General features: G+C 36.1%; 1 protein-coding gene across 33 annotated transcripts in view; it reads left to right on the top strand.

The window, feature by feature from the left end:
• The window catches only part of USP53 (ubiquitin specific peptidase 53), an 82,918-nt gene that overhangs the window by 1,194 nt on the left and 59,092 nt on the right, over positions 1-22,632 (top strand). For 10 of the 33 annotated variants that reach the window (XM_047415829.1, XM_047415828.1, NM_001371395.1 and 7 more), the window contains exons 2-4: positions 276-428; positions 3,756-3,879; positions 21,496-21,617. The gene's annotated coding sequence lies outside the window, so the exon portion shown is untranslated. The remainder of the gene's footprint in view (positions 1-275; positions 429-3,755; positions 3,880-21,495; positions 21,618-22,632) is intronic. The other 23 variants (XM_017008313.2, NM_019050.3, XM_005263077.5 and 20 more) reach the window with 4 other exon arrangements.

Below are 22,632 nucleotides of genomic sequence, written 5' to 3' on the forward strand. Positions count from 1 at the left end.
TTGAACCGGAGGTTGCAGTGAGCCGAGATCGCGCCACTGCATTCCAGCAGGGGCGACAGAGCCAGACTCCGTCTCCAAAAAACAAACAAACAAACAAAAAAACGCAGTACACTTAGGAAGGTTTTTGTGATTAAGATCTGATTCACTTTTAGTTATTAAAAGAAAAGGCTTGCTGATTTTCACTATTTAAAATGAGTAGCAAGTGCTAACACAAAATGTCTGTTGGAAATGAACTTTTAGTTACATTGATAATTGTTATTTTCTGTTCTTTTCAGTTCCGTGATGATGGTCTAAGCAAAGACCCTTCGTCCTGTTAAAGATAAATTAAAAAAAAAAAAAAAAAACCAAAGGGAACAAAACTTACTCTGCAAAAGTAATATATGATTTACCTGCTGTTGTCATAAGAATTCCAAATAGACAAACTCGGTGTAAGTAGGAGTTAATTATAGTCTGAGAAATAAGGTTTTTGTTTTGTATCTCAAAGGCTTTTAAAATAAGCTCCTTGATACAATTTGTGCAGGTTCGTGTTTACTGGTGATAAACCATGAAAGTGATTTATTAAGATTTTTTCATTAATGAAACTGGGAGGTTTGTGTATTTCTTCCTAACGTGTAAAAAAGAGACTAAGAACTGGCCTTTCCTTTTTCCTAAGAATTTTAACAAATATTTTTAAAAATGTATGTAGATTGTGTAAGTTCATGGAATTTGATACTAATAATCAATTCGTTAATATTTTCACTAAACAATGCATAAGATAGTTTTAAAAAAGATATTTTAATGGGAAGGTAGACTTTTCCAACTAGTGTATTCTTTTCCTTAAAAAAAAAAAAAAGAAAAATCACAATACTCTTAAGACCTGCCATATGTGCTGTGATTCAAGTTCTTTTATATTGTTTAATGTTAGATGTTTATTTTAAACTGTGCAGTATCAAGAAATACAACTTTGGTACCATATGGTTTACAAGTTTGTTTTAGCAAGACAAAGTTTAAAAATGAAAATTTTATCTCATTTAAGGTTATATGTAGCTTTAAAAGCCAAAATCAGAATTATTTTCCCTCCTGGAATTGTTTGGAACTCTCTTACTTACTGGGGTAGGAGGGGGTACATTGCTTTACCCTACAACTTTCCGAAAACACAGTTGATCTTTATAAAGTGATGGAATAAACTATCCTACAAAGATGTTTGGTTACTAAAATACTTAGAAGATCCTTTTTGACAGCTTTAACTGTAAGGTATTTCTTGTAGAACTCAAAAACAACCTGTAGAAAGTTGGGTAGTTTATATATTGCATCTGGAAGCATTTTTAACACAGTGTGCTAGGTGTGCTAGGGCCAAAATGATTGCCAGTTTCGCTTACTCTGCTCATGAGCTCTTGTTTTAAGGAGGGAAGTATGCTGATTTATGTTATCTTTGCAGAGCTAGGTAGAAATTAATGATGTTACAAATATAGTATTATTATATTGTTAATTTTATACTGATGATTTTAGAAAATTTTGCATTATGGTATTTGCACATGATAGGAACAAGAAACGGATGCAACCTGCTCTACTACAAGTAAAAATCCTCAAAGGTTAAATTTTAAATAGCTTTATGTAATATTGTAATCTTTGCAGGTTATACATTTTTTAAAATTAATAATAAGAATACCATAGATACCATGTACAGTATATAGAATATTTAGGCAAATAATATTCTGTGCTCTTCCAGGTTAACTCATATCCTCTATCAGGAATTGTTGAACCAAAAGCCCATGATTAGAACTGTGGTCTGTGGTTAGAATTGAGTTTTAATATAATTGGTTTTCTTTGTGATCTTAGTATTTTTTTTTCTTTTTCTTTTTTTTATGCTATGAATTTTATTTTGTTCATTTACAAACATTATTCATAGGGGGCTTCATTAGGCCACCAAAGATGTCCATGATACAAGAAAAGGCTACAAACCATTGCATCTGGCTAAAGAATTATGATTTTACATGAGACTTCAGAAGAGTTGCTTCATATACTCTGCAGTTCATCAGAATTTTTTCTGCAAAATAAACCTTATTCCAATATCTTAGCTATTTTTATGAACAAAATCAGTTATTTGAGGTGTCATGGTATTTTTGAATTAATTTGAAGATAACATTAGTTTTCAATTTTACACATATTACAAAAAAGAAGTTTTAAGAAATACCCTTCCTTTGGAAGTTTTTTACTGCTGCGCTTTTCTGAGTTAGAAGTATTGAATAAACATTATTGACCTCCTATTGTATGCTAGGCATAGTGCTAAACACTAGAAAGTCAAAAGTTAATTAGACAATGTTGGCTGGGTGCTGTGGCTCACGCCTGTAATCCTAGCACTTTGGGAGGCTGAGGCAGGCGGATCACTTGAGGCCAGGAGATTGAGACCACCCTGGCCAACATGGTGAAACCCTATCTGTACTAAAAAATACAAAAATTAGCCAGGCGTGGTGGTGCACACCTGTGGTCCCAGCTACTAAGGAGGCTGAGGCAGGAGAATCACTTGAACCCAAGAGGCGGAGGTTGCAGTTAGCTGAGATTGTGCCGTTGCTCTACATCCTGGGCGACCGAGTGAGACTCTGTCTAAAAAAAAAAAAAAATCATTAAGTAGTTATTTTTCTGAAAACTTATACTTTGGTTGAAAATTTCTAAATCAAGTCTCTGTTGCTGACACTTACTTCAGTCACTTTATCTTTCTTTCTGATCCATTGGCTGTTAACATTTTAACTCATTTTCTCCTTCTCTCCTTTCTAGTCCAGAAAGGTTTTGTAAATGAATATTTACAACAATTCTGTGGTGAAAATCCACTTATAATGTGAAGTATTCCCAAACATTCATTTTATAAATTAGGTTTTTCATATGCTAGATATTCTTAAACTAGGATAGCTCCGTAACAAAATTGCTTATGATTTACTAAGAACAGCTACTAAAATTTTAAAATTAAGAAATTGATATTTCATTGAACAATTTATCTGATCTCATTAATCTGAATTAAAGCAATGGTTAAGTTTAATATATCAGTTTAAGGTATTTCCTTAAAGATAGCAAAATGGAGTATAAAATATATAATACAGCGTCTGCTTTTTTCTAAATCCTTGTTGACATTGTTAAAAATCATTTTACGTGGAAGATAATGTTATTATAATTAGCCTGCATTCGTTGAATGCCTATGTTTTGGCCATTTATTAGGTATTTTATACATGGTTTATGATTCTCACAGTAGCCCTATGATTTTGATTATAGATGATGAAACTGATAGATTTTTAATGATTGAGTAGTTGAGCAATGTGTTGTAAACTTTATATCAGAGGAGGAATAAAATATCTATGGGAATTATAAGGTCACTATCAGGGTATGGATTCCATCCTTGTCAAGAAGCCATCAGGGTATTCTTTGCCCATCAGATACCTCATTCTTTGGCTTTTTCTTAACTCCTCAGCCTGCATAATAAACTGTTGCCCCTCTCATGGTGCCCCTCCCCATACTTAGGTGAGCAGATTGAGCCCTAAATTTTTCCTCCTATATGATGCTACCATATAGGCATGAGATAATGCTCCTCCTTTGTCAGTGTAGTACTGACACTGACCTACCTGCCAGATGGTAGGAAATTGTCCTATACTTTAGTGCCTAGGTTGTCTTTGTTAGGAACACTGTTTTTTCCAAAGGGTTTGTTGTTTGAGATTTTACTTTGTTTCCTGAGCTTCCTTTAATAAATATTTGATGAAAACTTAACCATGCACTGTGTTCTGTTCTAGATGCTTGGGATTTGCTTTACATTCTAAGTGGATTTGGAGAAGAGACAATAAAGAATAAGCAGTCAATTCTATAATATATTTAGAAGGAGAAAAGTGCCAAGGAGGAATGAAAAAGTAGAACAAGGTAAGAGGAATTTGGAAAGCGTGGTAGAGATTGTGATGGTTTGCAATTTTAAATAAGTGTAGGCCTCATTTAAGTGACTTTTTTGGCAAAGCAATTATGAAGGGAGGGAGGGCAAAGCCATGTGGGCGTTATGGGGGGAATGTATTCCAGGCAGGGGAATGGCCAGTGCAAACAATATAGAGAACAGAAGTTTGTATAGTGTGCAGGAATGAGAAGGAGGCTGATGTGGCTGGAATGGGAAAGCCAAAGGTCAAGTAGTTAGATGAGGGGCTGGGCAGATAGTGACATTATGATTTAATTTTAGAAAGATCTCTGTCTGCTCTCCAGAATAGACTTATATGTTACTGTGTAAAGGGTAGAAGCCAGGAGACAAGCTGCTATTTTTTTAATCCACACAAGATGTGATGATGGCCAAGACTAGAATTGTTGAAGTGGAGGTGGTGAAAAGTGGTCAGATCCTGAAATATGACAGAAAAAGGAGTCAAAGATGACATCAAGATATTTGTTCTCAGCAACTGGAAAGATAAAGTTGCCATTGGCTGAGATGGGGAGGAAGGTATAGATAAAGTAAGAGTTCAGTCTGGGGCTTTGTCAAGGCAAATAAATGTTAGGTTATTGCTGGCTTGACATAATTTTCTTCTGGAGATCATGTCTTAAAAGTAGACTGCTGTAAGCCATTTTCTTTAATGACCATGTCCTATATTCTGGATACATGTGTATGCTTGTCTTTTGCTAGTTAGTTACTAGTGGAAACTAGTGAATAGGTAAAAGCAACATGAAATATAGCACGGTTTTTTGTTAGACACAAAGAAATAGAGCAAAAAAGTGGAAACATTGAAAATTACTTAAAACTTACTGTTTTTTTGTTGGCAGTATTATAGTCTTTTTTCTTATTAATTTTATTTTCTGTGTTTTATAAATTTTCTACTGTAGTCTTCTCTAATTCCTCCATTTCTAGAGTGACAATGGTTTTACACATCAAAGAATATTTATTCTTCAATTATACCTTCCTTACTATAATCCTTTAGCTTTATAAACACAGTTACTTCTGTAATGAAAGATATATTTTTTCTTTTTTCTGACACTATCTACTTGAAGATGAAGAGTTTTTTTGTATTACTTCAACTTGGTATAACTCTTCTGTTTGCTATCTAGTTATCTAAAATAAAATCTTAAATACTTCTAGTAAGATGAGCAGTTGTAGCATATCATCAGAAAGTCCTCAGTGTATCTTTGAGGTGCTATATTGTTAGTGAAAAGATGTTAATATGAAGTTTTACTTTACAGTTTGATGGCTAGGACTGTGTACTATTAAGAACATATTTGCAGTGATTCTGTGCTAATATGGAATTATGGATATTTCTAATTTTCTTTATGTAGTATTTCTGTGGTATTTCAGAAATCTAATGAACAAGTACTGTTTGATAATCAAAAAAATCCATACACATAAAAGAACAAAGAGTCTCATGGCTTTATCAACTATTATATTAGTTTCCTAGGGCTGTTGTAACAAAGAACCACAAACTGGGTGGCTTAAATGACAGAAATTTATTCTCTCACAGTTCTGGAACTAGAAGTCCAAAATCCAGGTGTCAGCAGGATTGGTTCCAACTGAGGGCTCTGAATAGAATCTTTCCTTGCCCCTTCCTAACTTCTGGCAGTGGCTGTTCATCTTTGGTGTTCCTTGACTTGCAGCTTCATCCTTCCAGCCTCTGCCTCTGTCATCATTCTCTCTCTTTCTCTTCTTATAATGACTGCTACCAGTCACATTGGATTAGGGTCCACCCCAGTGACCTCATCTTAATCTGATAACATTTTCAAATACCCTGTTGCCAAATACATTGACATTCATAGGTCTGGGACTTGGACATATGTTTTTGGGAGACACAATTCAACCCATAATAGGTATAATGAATCAGGTTTAAGATGCCATTATCATTTACCCAGACCATTCTAGTAGCCTGATAAAGTTATTGGATGTTAGAATTTGAACAAATTCCATATAGTGTCATCCCCTTTTGGGGGAAAACACCTGTTAAATAATTTATATAGCATGGTGAAGATTACCTAACTAATTATGTATTGGGCTTAAGTTTTGGAAGGAGAAAAGATAGTTTGATAGTCTTGTCTAGGGTAATGAAGGAGAGTGGCCCTGGAATCTTGCCTTTTAGGATAAAATTATTGCTGGTAAAGCACTGACTCATAAGAAAACAGCAGTGACTTATTTCCTTTCTTTTCTTTTCTTTCTGTCTCTCTCTCTTTCTCAAAACTTCTGGTTCATTTTAAAGTTCAAATTTAAGTTTTTTATTTTAAAATATTTTATTGGAAAGTATTAATAACTGATATTAAGCACTTAATAAAGTTAAACATTTTGTTTTTTCTTATTTAAGCCTTACAGAAATTTTAATAACAGTAAATGTTGTAATTATCCTTATTTTACAGGCAAATGTGGATATATGTTTATAACTGCACAAATGAATTCTGAAGGGACGCATAAGACATTGGTATTGGTTGCCTATGGGGAATATAATTGATATGGGGGAGACTTGGTTTTCCTTGTATGCTCTTCTATATGGTTTAAAAAATTATTTATGAAAATTAAATATATACTAAAAAAGAGGGAAATTGCTGAGTTTTTCCTTTTAGCTGCACTATTAACTCTTTTAGGAAAAAGCAGTGATCTATCAAATTGTATTGAGATATTCAGTAGATCTGCTACTGAAGTACTTATTTACATTGGAGTTAAAAACACAAATGCAGTTTGACAAATATAAATTCTTAGAAAAAGTAAGTTCTACTCTTTTATTTGGGGATATAATATTTTACTTATTTCATATTTGCAGTGTTGTAGGGTAATGCAGTTGCTTTTAACAAGCCATAAGTGAACTTCTGAGAATTTCATTCAAAGTAAACAGTTAGGAGAATATAAGATCCTTTGAAGTGATTCTGCCAGTTTTCTAATTTTTTTCTTTAAGAATTTCTTAAGCATTGTGAAATATATTTATGTATTTAAACTTTTAGAAATTTATGCTGTTAAGGAAAAAATTATTCATGACAATTGTTAAAGATGGTAAGGAAGACACTTGTTACAGATAGGTACAGGGAGCACTGCAATGGAGTCTTGCAGTTGGGGAGAGAGATTGGGCTCTACTCTATATACTACAAGTAAAAGCGGGAATTTATAGACAAGGATGTGGGTGTGGTTGGTGGATGGAAAATTACTAGGGGGCAACATTAGGAATAAGAGAGGATTCTGGCCAAACTGACCTAACAGGATTCTTGTTGAAGGCAGGCCAGGGTGATCAGACATCACCTGGAGGATGGTGAAGGATGAGGAACCTAATCAGATATGAGGATGATCAGATAAGGAGAATGGCTGACTTGACTTAGTAGGACTCTTGCTAAAATTGGACAACGTAGAGACAAACAAGGAAGTCCAAAAGTTGAGGAATAGTTGAAAAAGAACATGGAATAGCTCGAGTGGAGTTTGATCAATGAGAGAATCTTTGTCAATATTTTCTGACACCTGTATCTGAAAATATCAAATAGTTACTTATATTAGGCCCATTTAGAAAATCAAAACTGTTGTATTACATTAGAATTAGTATTAGTGGCAGGGGCACAGTGGCTCATACCTGTAATATCAGCACTTTGAGAGGCTGAGGCAGGAGGATCGCTTGAGCCCAGGAGGTCAAGGTTGCAGTGAGTCATGATCAGGCCACTACACTCCAGCCTGGGTGACAGAGTGAGACCCCAGCTCAAAAAAAAAAATTAGTACTAGTATTGAATTAGAAAATTTAATATAAGAAAAAAATTTAAAAAGCTGTTAGAAGACCTTAAGGAGCCACCAGGGGAAGATAAATTATCTGGTGTTGTAAGTTGCCACTGTCCCTAGGCTTAAGTTCCAAAGACAGGAGCCCAAGAGCTGGAACCACCAAGCCTGACCTAGAACTTTAGAGGCCTTGCTGTAAACGGGGAACTTGAGCCTTCGAGGAGAATATGCCAGAGATAGCAACAGGGCAGAGAGAGAAGGGGAGAAATACCTTGGCTTCTCTCCTTTGTCTTCGATTTTCTGGCAGTGCCTCTGATTGGCCGAAATGGGCCAGAAATGGATTCACAAGGGATCCTGGGAAATGCTGTTTGCAGAGATCAGCTCTGTATGGTTGTCCCATACACAGCAGAGCAAAGGAGAGAGGGGGATGATTTTGAAATCAAACATGGACATAAACTGCATTGCACTGAAAACTTACCACAATATACAATAGCACCTTGTGCTTCTCTTTCCTTCTAGTGCCACCCTGAAGAAGCAAACACTTTCAAGTCTTTCAGCTGATTATTCTATAGTTTTATTTATATTTCTAAATATGAATTCTGTATTGCTATTTGGTGATTTTTCAAGCTTAAATTAACATTAATTTTCTATGATGGTGGATATAGGTTTAGTTTTTTTATTTTCTTCCTTATTCTTGCAATAGAATTGTATCTTTTTTTAATTTTAAATTTTATGGATATGTAATAGTTGCACATCTTTATGGGGTACATGTGATATTGTGATATAAGCATACAGTGTATAATGATCAAATCAGGGTTGTTGGGATGTCCATCGCCTTAAGCGTTTGTTTCTTTGAGTTAGTAACATTCTAATACTACCCTTGTAGTTATTTTGAAATATACAATACATTACTGTTTAGTCACTGTGTTGTGCTACTGAACACGAGAACTTATTCCTTCTAATTGTATTTTTGTACATTGACCAACCTCTCTTTATCCCTTCTCTCCACTTCCTTTCCCAGCCTCTAGTAATTGTTATTTTACTCTCTATATCCATGAGATTATTTATTTATTTTTTAGCTCCCACATATGAGTGAGTACATGGGATATTTGTCTTTCCGTGCCTGTCTTATATCACTTAATATCCTTCACTTCCATCCATGTCGTTGCAACTGACTGGATTTCATTCTTTTTTATGGCTGAATAATATTCCATTATGTATACATACCACATTTTCTTTATCCATTCATCCATTGGCGGACTTAAGACACTTAGGGTGATTCCATATCTTGGCTATTGTGAATAATGCCACAATAAACATGGGAGTATAGACATCTCTTTGATTTTCTTTCTTTTGGGTATATACCACTAGGGATTGCTGGATTTTGCATTGCTCTTTTTTCTCCTGGAACACATGTAATACAAAAAATAATAAATATATTCCCACTATTTTTATAATTATTTTTATGATTTAAATCATTTCAATCACTTTATTACACTTCTTTGTAATAAAATAACAGATGTATATTTTTCCCTTGTGGATTATGTTATACATACAGTTACTTTGGGAACCAGTAAATCTGAATTTTCACTGTCTCTATTTTCAGTATCTATATGCACATAATAAATTTTGAGAAATAACTAAAACCTAAGAAGTTAAAAGTTTATTACAAATGTATCTTTTAGTGAGATAAGCTGAGCATGAGTTAAGGTGCCCAATTAAAGGAAGCTTAAATTACACCAATATTTTGAGTTGTTCCTTTATTTGGCACCTGGAGATTTTTGTAGTAAACCTAGAAAATAGAATACTGTAAGATGTAGGATGGGTGAGGGGTATATGTCATTATTTTGTAAAGTAGGAGGAAAGCAATTGTGAAAGCAGAACTGGGAAAGAACTACAGACGAATCGTTAGCCAGATCAATTCTAGGAAAGTGTACATTTGGAAGTGGCAGATCTGTAAATTAATTCCTTTAAATCTAACCATACCTTTAATCTCTGGGAAAATCATTATGTTTTCTTGGATGTGCATATCCCAATTTGAAGATCGCTGCCTTTAAATATAAGAGAACCAAGATTGTAGGATTGGTGAAAAGTCAAAAAAGGAGAAGGTGACTTGATAGAGGACAAGTTAGAAATCCCGACTAAGAGTTTCCTCCCTGGTACTTCTGTGTTTGTGATCTTCCTGATGTGCTTCTAGAATCTTTACCATCCACATTATTTTTCTTATTGCTACCAGGGTAATCTTAAAACAGGTCTGATCATCATAGGTGGTTTGGTTAGAAGTAAAAGTGTTAAATTGGCCTTTAAGGTATATAATTCCTAATTTTAGCTCTACTACTTACAGTCTCTAAAAACGAGTCCATTACTAAACTTCTCCTGACCTGATATTTCTTACACTGTCAAAAGAAGGAAAAAAGTTAGTTTAGTTTAGTGGTTTTCATACTTTTTTGACCATGACTCAAGGTAAGGAAGATGATTTGCATCACAGTCTAAGTACCTATATCTACATATTATTTTATTGGAGACCTGAATTTCTTTTTAAATATTTTTTATGTATTTTATTTTATTTTTTGAGATGGAGTCTTGCTGTGTTGCACAGGCTGGAGTGCAATGGTGCTATCTTGGCTCACTGCAACCATCATTTTCTGAGTTCAAGCAATTGTCCTGCCTCAGCCTCCTGAGTAGCTGGGATTACAGGCGTGTGCCACCACACCCGGCTGATTTTTGTATTTTTAGTAGAGACGGGGTTTCACCATTTTGGCCAGGCTGGTCTTGAACTCCTGACCTCGTGATCTGCCCACCTTGGCCTCCCAAAGTGTTGGGATTACAGGCGTGAGCCACCACATCTGGCTTGAATTTCTTTAAACAGAACCGATGTATAAATGCTACATTAAGCCCAAAGCAGCCATGTTTTATTATATTACACAGTGTTAATAATGAATTGTCAGAATGCAAATTACTGTATACTAGCCAAAAGAATATCACAACTATCACATTTTAAACTTGTGTTTCTTAGCATGTATGAGGTTTAGAATTATTTAACAATGTAACTCAGTGCATTTAAATGTTGTGGAGTTAGGGAGGGAGGTTAGTTCTAAATATCTTTATAGATCTGATTTAAAGCTATGATCAGGGAGGCTGAAGTGACTAGAATTTGTGGAGCAGAATGCTAGAAGGGAAATAATTTCACAGAGAGGAAACTCTGGCAATCTGCATAAGAGTGCCCTTGAATCTCTGGCTGGGAACTGGGTACAGGGAGAAACTCCAGGAGGCTGGGGAAAGGAGTACTTGAAAGTTGAACAAGGGAAATTTGAAACTATGTTGAACAGAATAAAATTGAAAACAGTATAGCAGACTGTGTGGGATTTAAACTAAGGCAGTGTGGAGGGAAATTTATAACAAAATGCTTATATTAGAAAAGAAGAAAGCTCTAAGCTTTTATCAGAAAACTGGAAAAAGAAGAGCAAATTAAGCCCAAAGTAAGCAGAGAAAGAAAATAATAGAGTTCTGGAAACCAATGAAAGTGAAAACAGGAAAGCAATAGAAAAAAAATCAGTGAAATGAAAAGCTGATTCTTTGAAATTATCAATAAAGTTGATAAAATCCCTAGCCAAGACTGATCAATAAAAGAGAAGATACAAATTAACAGTATCAGGAGTGAAAGAATGGACATCATTGCAAACCTTACCAACATTAAGGGGATAATACAGAGTATTGTGAATTTTTTTGCCAATAAATTTGACAACTAGGTGAAATGGGAAAAGTCCTTTAAAGACACAAACTATGAAAGCTCACTCAAGAAGAAAAGAAAACCTAAGTAGCCCTTTCTATCAAAGAGATTTAATTTGTGATTTAAAATATTCCCATAAAGAAAATTCTAGGCCCAGATAGTGCTACTGATGAATTCCACCAGCCTTTTAAGAAGAAATAATAGCAGGTCTACATAAACTCTTCCAGAAAATTAAAGAGGAGAAAACACTTCCAAGTTCACTTTATGAGATGATTATAACTCTAATAACAGCCAGGCGTGGTGGCTCACGCCTGTAATCCCAGCACTTTGGGAGGCCGAGGCGGGCAGATCACGAGGTCCAGAGATCAAGACCATCCTGGCTAACACGGTGAAACCCCATCTCTACTAAAAATACAAAAAATTAGCCGGGCGTGGTGGCGGGCGCCTGTAGTCCCAGCTGCTCAGGAGGCTGAGGCAGGAGAATGGCGTGAACCCGGGAGGTGGAGTGAGCTGAGATTGCGCCACTGCACTCCAGCCTGGGCGACACAGCGAGACACTGTCTCAAAAACAAAAACAAAACAAACAAAGAAAAAAAAATTCAGTAACAAAATCAGACAAAGATATCACAAGAAAACTACAGACTGAAAATCCCTCATGAATACAGATGTAAAAGTTATTTAAAATTTATTAGCAAATTAAGTCCAAAATGCATAAAAAGAATAGGTTTTGATAAATTGGCATCATCGACAGGAATACAAGGTTGATTTAACACTTGAAAATCATTGTAATATACTGCATTAAGACTCAGAATCATATAATCATCTTAGTATTTACAAAATTTAAAAGTTTTGACAAAATTCAACAACCATTTAAACTGTCAACAAATAGAATCATATAATCATCTCAGTATTTACAAAATTTAAAAAATTTTGACAAAATTCAACAACTGTTTAATATAAAAGTTTCAACAAAGTAGGAATAAAGGGGAACTTACCCAACCTGATACAGATACCTGTAAAAATCTACAGCTAACCCTACACATAAGGTTAAAGACTGAATGATTTCATCTCAGATTGGAAGCAAGATTAGTATTTCTGTTCTTACTTCTTCCTTTTGGCATTGTACAGGACGTCCTACCTACCCAGTTAAGTAGGGCAAGAACAAGATGAAAGAGGCTTACAGATTAGAAAGCAAGAAGTAAAAGTATCTAAGAAATCTATACAATAGCTCCTAGAACTAAGGTTGCAGTTTTTATTGTCAGTACAAAAAATCAATTATATTTCTGCATGTTAGTAATGAAAAATTGGAAACCAAAATTGAAAACATCATTTACTATAATGTCAAAAAAAGATGAAAAACTTAGAGATAAATTTAAAAATATATATGTATAACCTGTACACCTAAATTAGCAAAACATTTCTAAGAGAAAGAAGACCTAAAAAAATGTAGAAAGACATAATATTCCTAGATTGGAGGTCTCAATATTGTTAAGACGTTATTTATTTTTTTTGAAAGAGTGTGGTTTTGGTATAATTCTAGACATACCTGAAATATTTATAATTCATTTAAAGTAATGGCAAAAAGCACAATTACTTTTGGACCAACCTAGTAGAATAGAGAGACCAGAAATATATCTACTATGTAAGTAATCAGTTAATTTTTTGTTTTTGTTTTGAAACAAGGTCTCACACTCTGTCACCCAAGCTGAAGTGTAGTGGCACAATCACAGCTCACTGCAACCTCTACCTTCCAGGCTCACTCGATCCTCCCACCTCAGCCTCCTGAGGAGCTGGGACTATATAGGCATGTGCCACCATGCCCAGCTAATTTTTGTACTTTTGTAGATGGTTCTTACTGTGTTGCCCAAGGTGCTCTCAAACTCCTGGGCTCAAGTGATCCTCCCACCTCAGCCTCTCAAAGTACTAGGATTGCAGGCATGAGCCACTGTGCCTGGCTATAATCAATTAATTTTTGACAAAGTATTCCAAAGCAATTTAGGGAAAGCATACTCATTTTAAAAAATGGTGCTGGAAAATTAGATTTTGTTTGGACAAAATTAATCCAAAGCCTTGTCTAACACTACACACACACACACACACACACACACACACACACACACACACAAACTTGAAATGAATCATAGAGCTAACCATAAGAGCCAAAACTTTAAAACCTCTACAGGGCCGGGCGCTGTGGCTCACGCCTGTAATCCCAGCACTTTGGGAGGCCGAAGCGGGCAGATCACGAGATTGCGACCATCCTGGCTAACTGGGTGAAACCCCGACTCTACTACAAGTACAAAAAATTAGCCGGGCGTGGTGGCGGGCGCCTGTAGTCCCAGCTACTCGGGAAGCTGAGCCAGGAGAAGTGGCGTAAACCCGGGAGGCGGAGCTTGCAGTGAGCCGAGATCGCGCCACTGCACTCCAGCTTGGGAGACAGAGCGAGACTCCGTCTCAAAAAAGAAAGAAAAAAAATTGCATAGTATTCAAAAACTTAGGAAGGCACTTTGGCAATTTTCTATAAAGTTAAACATGCATTTACAATACAACCTAGCAGTCCCACTGCTAGGTATTTACAAGAGAAATGTATCCACAGAAAGACTTGTACTTGAATGTGTATAGTTACTTTATTCATAATAACCCCAAAATGGAAACAACTGCAATTAATCTCCCTTTACCAGTAGTAAAGAGATAAGCAAAAGAATATTACTCAGTAATAAGGAATGTACAACTTCTGATTTGTGCAGCAATACAGATGAAACTCAAAAGTATGAGTCCATTTATGAGAAATTCTAGAGAAGTTGAAACTAGGACAGAAAGTGTATCAGTGTTTTCTTGCAGGTTGAATGTATTAATTTTCTATTACTATGTAACAAATTACCACAACAGCTTAAAACAATGCACATTTATTATTTCACAGTGTTAGTAGGTCAGAAGTCTAGGTCGTTTTTAACTGGATTCTGTGCTCTGGATCTTACAAGAGTGGTCAAAGCATCAAATGGGCTGGCCTTTTATCTGGAGGCCCTAAGGAAGAAGAATCTGCTTCTGGGTTCATTCAGGTTGTTGGCAGAAGTATTTCCTTGTAGGAGCGAGGTTCCTGTTTCTTTGTTAGCTGTCAACCAGGATCTGTTCTCTCATGTTGAGGCCCCCTCCACCTTTAAAGCAGCAATGGCACATCAAGTCTTTCTCATGCTTCAAATCTCTCTTTTTCTGTCACCAGCCAGAGAAAGCACTCTGCTTTTAAGGATTCATGTGATTACATTAGGCCCAACCAGATAATCGCCATATTTTTAGGTCAACTGCGCCATATAACATAATGAGATAATGGAATACATATCTTGTCATATTTACAGGTTTCTATAGGGTATGAAATCTGGGGATGGGGGTGTGGGTGCACTGTGGTAGAATTCTGCCTACCACAGTGAGGAAGGTTATTGACTGTGAAGGGGCACAGGAGAGCTTCTCAGGGTGATGGAAATGTTCTATAGCTTGATTGTGGTAATGGTTACATGACTGTAGGTTTGTCAAAACTTACTGAACTGTACACTAATGGGATGAATTTTATTGATTACAACTTACACCTCCAAAGCTGGTTAACTTAAACATCCTATGTACAAAAATATTGTACGTAGGAAAATTAGCTGTCACTGAGATACTAGTGACCTCTGAATTGTTTAATTTGGATCTTACTGAACAGAAAATAGACTAAAATATAAATAGAAAAAGTAATATAAAATAGAAGGAAGAGTAAGGAAAACTACAGTTGCGTGTGTAAGTAGATTTAGATGAATAAAAGGGAGGAAGGAGTTAATTACTGGCTGTTCCTATAGACCTTCTGTTAGAGTTAGATTCCCTCTACTCTGCCTTCCTTTTTGCTACCCAGGTATTCAGCCTGGGGATTATAAATCTGAATGGTCTTAGCAACATCAGCTCTAGACCTCTGTCAGATACAATAGCAATTGCGTGCAACATAGACTGTAGTGGCTATCTGTTGTCATCCATCCAGCCATCTATATATGGTGCTATTATGTGAAATAAAGACTAAAATATTGTCCTTTTGGCTCCAGTATAATAATTACTACCATAAACCTGGTGTTTCTGATATTCTTTCAGGCTGCCACTTTTCTCACTCGCATGTCCTTTCTTTACCATTTCATCTATTCTTATGGTTTCTTATGTTTATATGTTCATGACTTGAAAATCCATTATGTCCAACCCTAAACTCTTCCCCAGGATTACCTTTTGAATCTAAATATTTACTGGGTCTCTCCCCTTGAATGTTCTGTAGAAACTCATTCATTTTATCCCAAATGGAACTCAATATTTTCTCTCAAACAAGCTCATTTTCCTATAAATACTATTTGAGTTGGTATAACAGTCCTACTACCATTCACTCTAGAAACCTGGGAACTTTCTTTACTTTCCTCTCTGCTTCATAGGTTTTGTGGACTTTACTTCTGAAAGAGTGTCATATTCATCCCCTGTTTATGCTACCACTGCCCTTGTGCAGGCCTATGTCATCTCTCCTGTGCATTCCTTCACCAGCCTCCCAATTTACCCCTTCTACTTGCAGATTAATTTACCTCAAATTCATCTTATTCATTGCCATGGTCTATTTATACCACAAGTCTGATTGTAATTTCTCTGCTTAAAACCAACAAAAGCTTTTTGCCACCTATTAGATAAAGTCCAAATTTCTTATGTGACCTTCAAGACCAGCCATGATCTGACCCCTGGTTCTGTCTACTTCGTACTTTATTGTGTATATTACTTGATTACTTGGTTCATAGCATTTCTTTGAAATGCATCTCATCCTCCCAACATACGCATGAAACTTGTGCTCGTTTTTCAATATATAATAAAATGTAACCTCTCCAAGAAGCCTATTCTGCTTCCACATGGATCTTATGCTATAATATGCATATCTCTGGTTTTGCATATTTACATGTTTTGTTCTTTTTTTCTTTGGGCTTCAACTGCACATAACTGAGTTAATCTTTTTTGTTTTCTAAGTTGGCTGTCTAGCCCTGTTTCAATTATACATATATACACCTCCTTGCTCAAGTGATCATATAAAACATATATGTTTTCACACATACATTGTTTTACCAAAGTGAGATCATATTAAATTCCTGTATTTTGCCTTTGTCACTCAAAAACACTTGTGTTTTCCTCTAATGTGGTCTTGTGGTCTGTCTTTGGAGAGTGGCTATAAACACTACCCCTTCCCTGCCAGGGCTTCGGGAGATCTGGTCATGAGTGTTTACAATGTGCCTTTCACAGGATACTTCTTTGTCCTGGCATATGACCTAATGCCTTAGTGTCCATGACCCTTGATAGGTGTCCCTCTCACAGGAAACTTGTTTATACTGGCAGATGCCCTTGTAGCTCTTGTCTTACCTGTGTTGAGTTTATTCCTATCAAGATAGCCATTCTCTAGGAGAGTCCTGACCAGAAAAGAAGTTGGATTCAGGTGTAACTGGGCAAAACACACAGGATACAACTCACCAAAACACATGAAATAACAGAAGCAGTATTACTTACAAATCGAGAGAGAAGAGGGCAGCACACCTCCTATGGCCAACTGGAAGTGGGGAGCCAACGAGATATGCATATTCAACCACTGGGTGGGGAGCAAGAGACAGAGAGTGAGGGGAACCTGTAGGCCAAAGCCTTTATTGGGGTCCAGGGTATTACCTAGGTGGGTTTCCTGCAGGTAGGTCTAATTGGTGGGTTTAGAGTAAGTGGGTACATGTTCCATGAAGTCACTGTGACTGAAAGGTGGTCACTGTGGCATATCTGCACAGCCCATGCAGGCTGTGTGAGTCAGTAGGTCAAGTCAAGTGGGTTGTATTTCACTGACCACCTATAAAGAGGTGGTAACTAGGAAGCAGTTATATAAAGTAGATATCTGGATTGACCATATTGAGGAACTAGGAAGAGGTAGAAAACTGGAAACTGTCAGGGGTAACTGAGTACTGCTTCTGGAATCAGAAAGTCCAACTTATGTTCAAAGTGGATGCAGAGGTAACATAAAATTATAGGAATTCACAGCGAACACCCTGTAGCAATTATGTTCCTACTGATGGATATTTACTTTATTTCCTTCATTATTTACTGGTAGAACCTAATATATCTCAATAAAAATGTACTTTTATTTCTGGAGTATAGATTCTCAGTATTGGGTTTCGGAGGTTGAAGTGTGTTTTAATTTTTAATAGTTGTTGCCATGTTGATCTAATATTGCCAGAGGGTATAATAGTATGATTACATTATTAGCAGTGAAAGAAGGTACCTCTTCCCTTTTATCCTCACCAACAGTATTTTAATATTTTTGCCAGTCTGATAGAAACGAAGCAGCTTTCAAGTACTGTACTATAATGCCTCTGGGTTGGAGGTCCCCAAGATCCCTCCCACCTGACAGATTTGTTGATTCTCTAGCAGGACTCACAGGGCTCAGCATATAGTTGTATGCATTGCTGTGATTTATTACAGTGAAAGGATATAAAGCAGGATCAGCAAACAGAGAAGGAGCCGGAGGTGAAGTCAGGAGGAAACCAGGCACAAACTTCCAATTGTCCTCTGCCAGTGGAGTCACACAGGGCACACTGATTTCTCCAGCAATAGATTTTGTGATGACGTGTAAAATGTTGTGTACCAGGAAGCTCATTAGAGACTCAGTGCTTAACATTTTATTGTGGGGTGGTCACTATGCATCCTCTGCCTGGGACGTACCAAAATTCCAGATTTCCAGAAGGAAAACAGGTGTTCAGGATAAACATTTTGTTTGTGCAGTTTAGGTGCAGTGACCCACTCTTATCAGTGTGGTAGAAAGCCTCCCCAAATCTTGAACTCCCAAAGGTCAGCCCTGCAAGCAGACCACTGTAAGGATGGCAGTCTCAGGAATGCTATGTAAAGTCTTTTCTTTTGCTCTTTTTAAAAAACAGCTTTATTGAAATATAATCACATGCCATGCAATTCACCCTTTAAAAGTGTAAAATTCAGTGATTTTTAGTATATTCACAGAAATATATGTACATTACCACAGTCAATTTTGGAATATTCTTACTACCTCAGAAAGAAACTCTATCTTTAACGATCACCCCTCATTCTCCTATAGCCCCCACTTCTCCAGTCCTAAACAAACATTAATCTACTATCTATCTTAGTAGATTTCCTAGTTGTGGACATTTCATATGAATGGAATCATGTAATATGTGGTCTTTTGTGACTGACTTCTTACACTTTGCTTAGTTTTTTAAATGTTCATTCATGTCATAGTATGTGTCACTACTTCCTTTTTATGGCTGAATAGTATTCCACTGTATGAATATACATAACACATTTTGTTTATCCATTGATTGGTTGATGGACATTTGTTTGGGTTGTTTCCACTTTTTGACTGTTATGAATAATGCTCTGTTAGCTATTTTCTTCACAGCCTCCCAAATATTTATTGAGAGAATAAATACAGACTCACATTTGCATTCTCGTAATAAACTGCAGTATTCTTTTCAATAGTATGTTATTCCTTTGACATATTGGTAGATTCTGTTTGCTAGCATTTTATTTATAATTTTTGTACCTATAATCATGTCACATTTGTATGAGGTTTATCATGTTTTGATATTAAGGGTATGTTAGCTTTATGAAATGATTTGGGGTTACTTTCTATTTCATTTTCCCTTTGGCCTGCAGTGATCTAACACTAGAATTAACTGTTATTTGAAGTTTAGATAAAAATTTAACTTTGAATTTGTCTAATCCAGATGCCATTTAAAATGGGAGAACTTTTCTCTCTTTTCCATTTTCTTCTAAACTAGCCTTTTTAAGCTTTTCATTTTTTCTTGTATTAATTTTGGTAATTTGTATTTTGCTAGGAAATTACCTGTTCCTTTTTAGTTATTGCCATAAGAAATAAAGTAATATTCTTACCATTGCTTATGTGTTTGGTTATTTCTCCTTTAACAATTTCGTTAGTGTTTATGTTTCTCTCTCTCTTTTTTTTTTTTAATCTTAATCAGGCTTTTTGTAAAGATTTTGTCAGTTTTTGTAAAATTTTAGTTTGGGATTTATTTTTTCTATTGTTTGACTATAAATTGACTTGGAAATCTCCTTTCTTCTTTTTAGTATAAGGTTTCACAGTTTTCATCTTACTTCTCTTTTTTCCTACATCATGTTTGGATTCTTTGAGTTACACATCCTGTTTTTATCTGAGTTTCTCAGTCTCTAATTCTGGCAAATTCTTAATCATTTCTAGAGATATTTATTTATTTCCCTTTCTGAGAATCTTATTAGATATTGACATTTAAATATTTTAACCATGTCTCATAGCTTTTGAGAAGTGTTTATATTTTCTACTTCCTTATTCCTTTTTTAATGCTTTGTAGAATTGCTTGACCTGAACTTGTTGCTCACTAGTATATTCTTGCCCTATATTCAATTTGCTAGTTAACCCATCGGATTTTTTATTTCAGCAGTTTAAAAAATCTATACATATCTTCAATTGGTGAATATTATGTTTGTTTTAAATTTGTGGTCTCTTTAGTCTTTTTTCTTATGGTATTGATTGTTCATTTGTTGCCTTTCTTTCATTGTGCTCATACTCTCCAAGTGTCTGGTTATATTTTTCTTAGAAGTTCCAAGTTATGAGCTAGTAATATTTGCCTGGGGAGCAGGGTGAAAGACTAGGCTTTAACATGTGTCTTTGTGTAATTTCATGGAGTAGAGGTGGGAGTGTGTGGGCTGATTCGGGGTGATGCAGTTCGACAGTTGGTGCCAAAAAGGAACTTCCTGTTGACCTGCTTAGAGGCATGATCTTCTCCAGGACCTGCTATCCTTATTGTATTTATGCAGTGCCGGTGAGAACAGAACACACAGGGGCCTTGCAGGTCACCTAAACTTGTTACCATTTCCCAAACTGTTTGTGCTCTGGTGCTTTCCTGATATAATAATCTCCTGTACTCTTCAGATGGCACTGGAGTGGTAGCAGAGCTTTTCTGTCTCATTGCATCCTGTAGGGTAGAAATTCTCTGCCCAGAGCAATGTAAGGACTGGAAAAGGTCACAACTAGGTCTTTTCCATTTGGTAGCATTTGGCCTGCTCCATCTCTTGGTTGCCATTTCCTTAACACTCTAGAAGCCATTGCTTTTAGTGTCCCCAAGGTTTTTCATTTATTAGACTGCTTTTTGCTTTTGTGTAATCTATAGGGTTGAGATGGAGGGAGGGAAGCAGGAATTTGAAATCTTGTGCTGGAATGGAAGCCATAATATTTTTAAATTATCTGTTTGTGTCTGTGCCCCTCAGCAAACTAAGCCCCTTAAGGGTAGTGATTTTTACATATACGCTAAAGTGTATATAAAAATAGTTCATGGGGCAGACTTGGTGTCTAATAAAGTTTATTGAAAATATTATTTCAAAAAGATTCTTTCATTAAAAATAAAAATGTACTACCAATATAGAACTTCCTTAACATTCTACAAACATGATTAAATTTATTAAAACCTTAATTTGTATGCAAGGTTTCAGGATCATTTAGATCACTTTAGAAGAGGTTATAAACTGTAGAGTAAAATAAAAAGAAGAAAACAACTAACATAATACATTTATCCCTCAGTGGATTGGTTCCAGGACCTACAACAGATACCACAATCCATGGATACTTAGATCATTCAGTGGACCTAAAAGTTGGTCCTCCACAGCTGAGGTTCCGCATCCCACAAACACTGTATTTTTGATCCCTGGTTCTTGAATCCACAGATGCAGAACTCGTGGATATGGACGGCTGACTGTATAGTGTTTTATAATTCTCAAAACATTTAACCTATGTTAAAGCAGGGCTGTTATTGTTATCCCCATCTTAAAAGTGAAGAAACCATGAATCAGAGATGACAAGAATGTATCTAAGACTAAGCAGCCAATAAATAGGCATGGAAACAAAGTCTCCTGACTTGGATTCTTTTAGAGACTGATGCTTCTTTGTTTTTCAGCGCTTCTGTAATGGCTATTTGATTAATGACATTGAACTAATCTGTGTCATTCTGTCTCCCATCTTTTTGTACTGTGGAACTCAGTGACTGTTACCCAGAGTTTTTGTTGTTGTTGTTTGTTTTTAGAGACAGCATCTTGCTGCCACCCAGGCTGGAGTGCAGTGGTGCAGTCTTAGCTTACTGCAGCCTCAAACTTCTGGGCTCAAGTAATCCTCCCGCCTCAGCTTCCTGAGTAGCTGAGATTACAGGTGTGTACAACTGTGCTTGGCTAATTTTTTATTTTTTTTGATTTTTTGTAGAGACAAGGTCTTGCTATGTTGCCCAGGCTAGGCTTGAACCCCTGGTTTCAAGTGATCTTCCGCACTTGACCTCCAGAAGTGCTGGGATTACACACGTGGACCACCCTGCCCAGCCATCACCCAGAGTTTAAAGCCAGAGTTCTTAAAAAGGGCTTGTGAGATCCCACATGATCTGTCTTTTTCCCATTTACTTTTCTCTTTGTTCACATTTCTCCTGCCACACTAGACTTTATATTACTATTTCTCCGCTATACCAGATATGCTCCAACCCTCAGTATCTTTGAGGTTTCTGTTCACTGTGCTTGGAATTCCTTCTCTTAGGTGGCTTCTTCATCCCTTTCCAATCTTTGTGCAAATGTAACCTCAATGAGACCATCGTTCATTATCCTATCTAAAAGCACAAACCATCCCACATTATATATACTTCCTATCCCCTTTTCTTAGATTGCTTTTGTTACTACTTATCATGTAACCCTTCTGGTACACTCTACAATTTATTATTCCTTAAGGTATTGTCTGCCTTTCGTCATTATAATGTTAGTTTCAGTGACTGGTTCAATACATGGCTCAAAAAATGTTGAATGAAATAATTCATCAACGAAATTCAGTTGATTAGACAAAACTGTTAGTAATACAGGTATACCACTGAGGTATTGCAGGTTTGATTCCAGACCACTGCAATAAAGCAAGTTGCAGGAATTTTTTTGTTTCCCAGTGCATATAAAAGTTATGTATACACTATACCACAGTCTATTAAGTGTGCAAAATAGCATTATTTCTAAAAAGACAATGTATATATCTTATTTAAAAACTATTGTTAGAAAATGCTAATGATCATTTGAGCTTTCAGTAAGTTGTAATCTTTTTGGTGGTAGAGGGTCTCGCCTTGATGTTGATGGCTGCTGACTGAATCAGGGTGATGGTTGCTGAAGGTTGAGGTGGCTGTGGCTATTAAAATAAGGCA

This window comes from Homo sapiens, chromosome 4 (genome assembly GCF_000001405.40).
Source record: "Homo sapiens chromosome 4, GRCh38.p14 Primary Assembly".
In the NCBI taxonomy this organism is placed as follows: domain Eukaryota; kingdom Metazoa; phylum Chordata; class Mammalia; order Primates; family Hominidae; genus Homo; species Homo sapiens.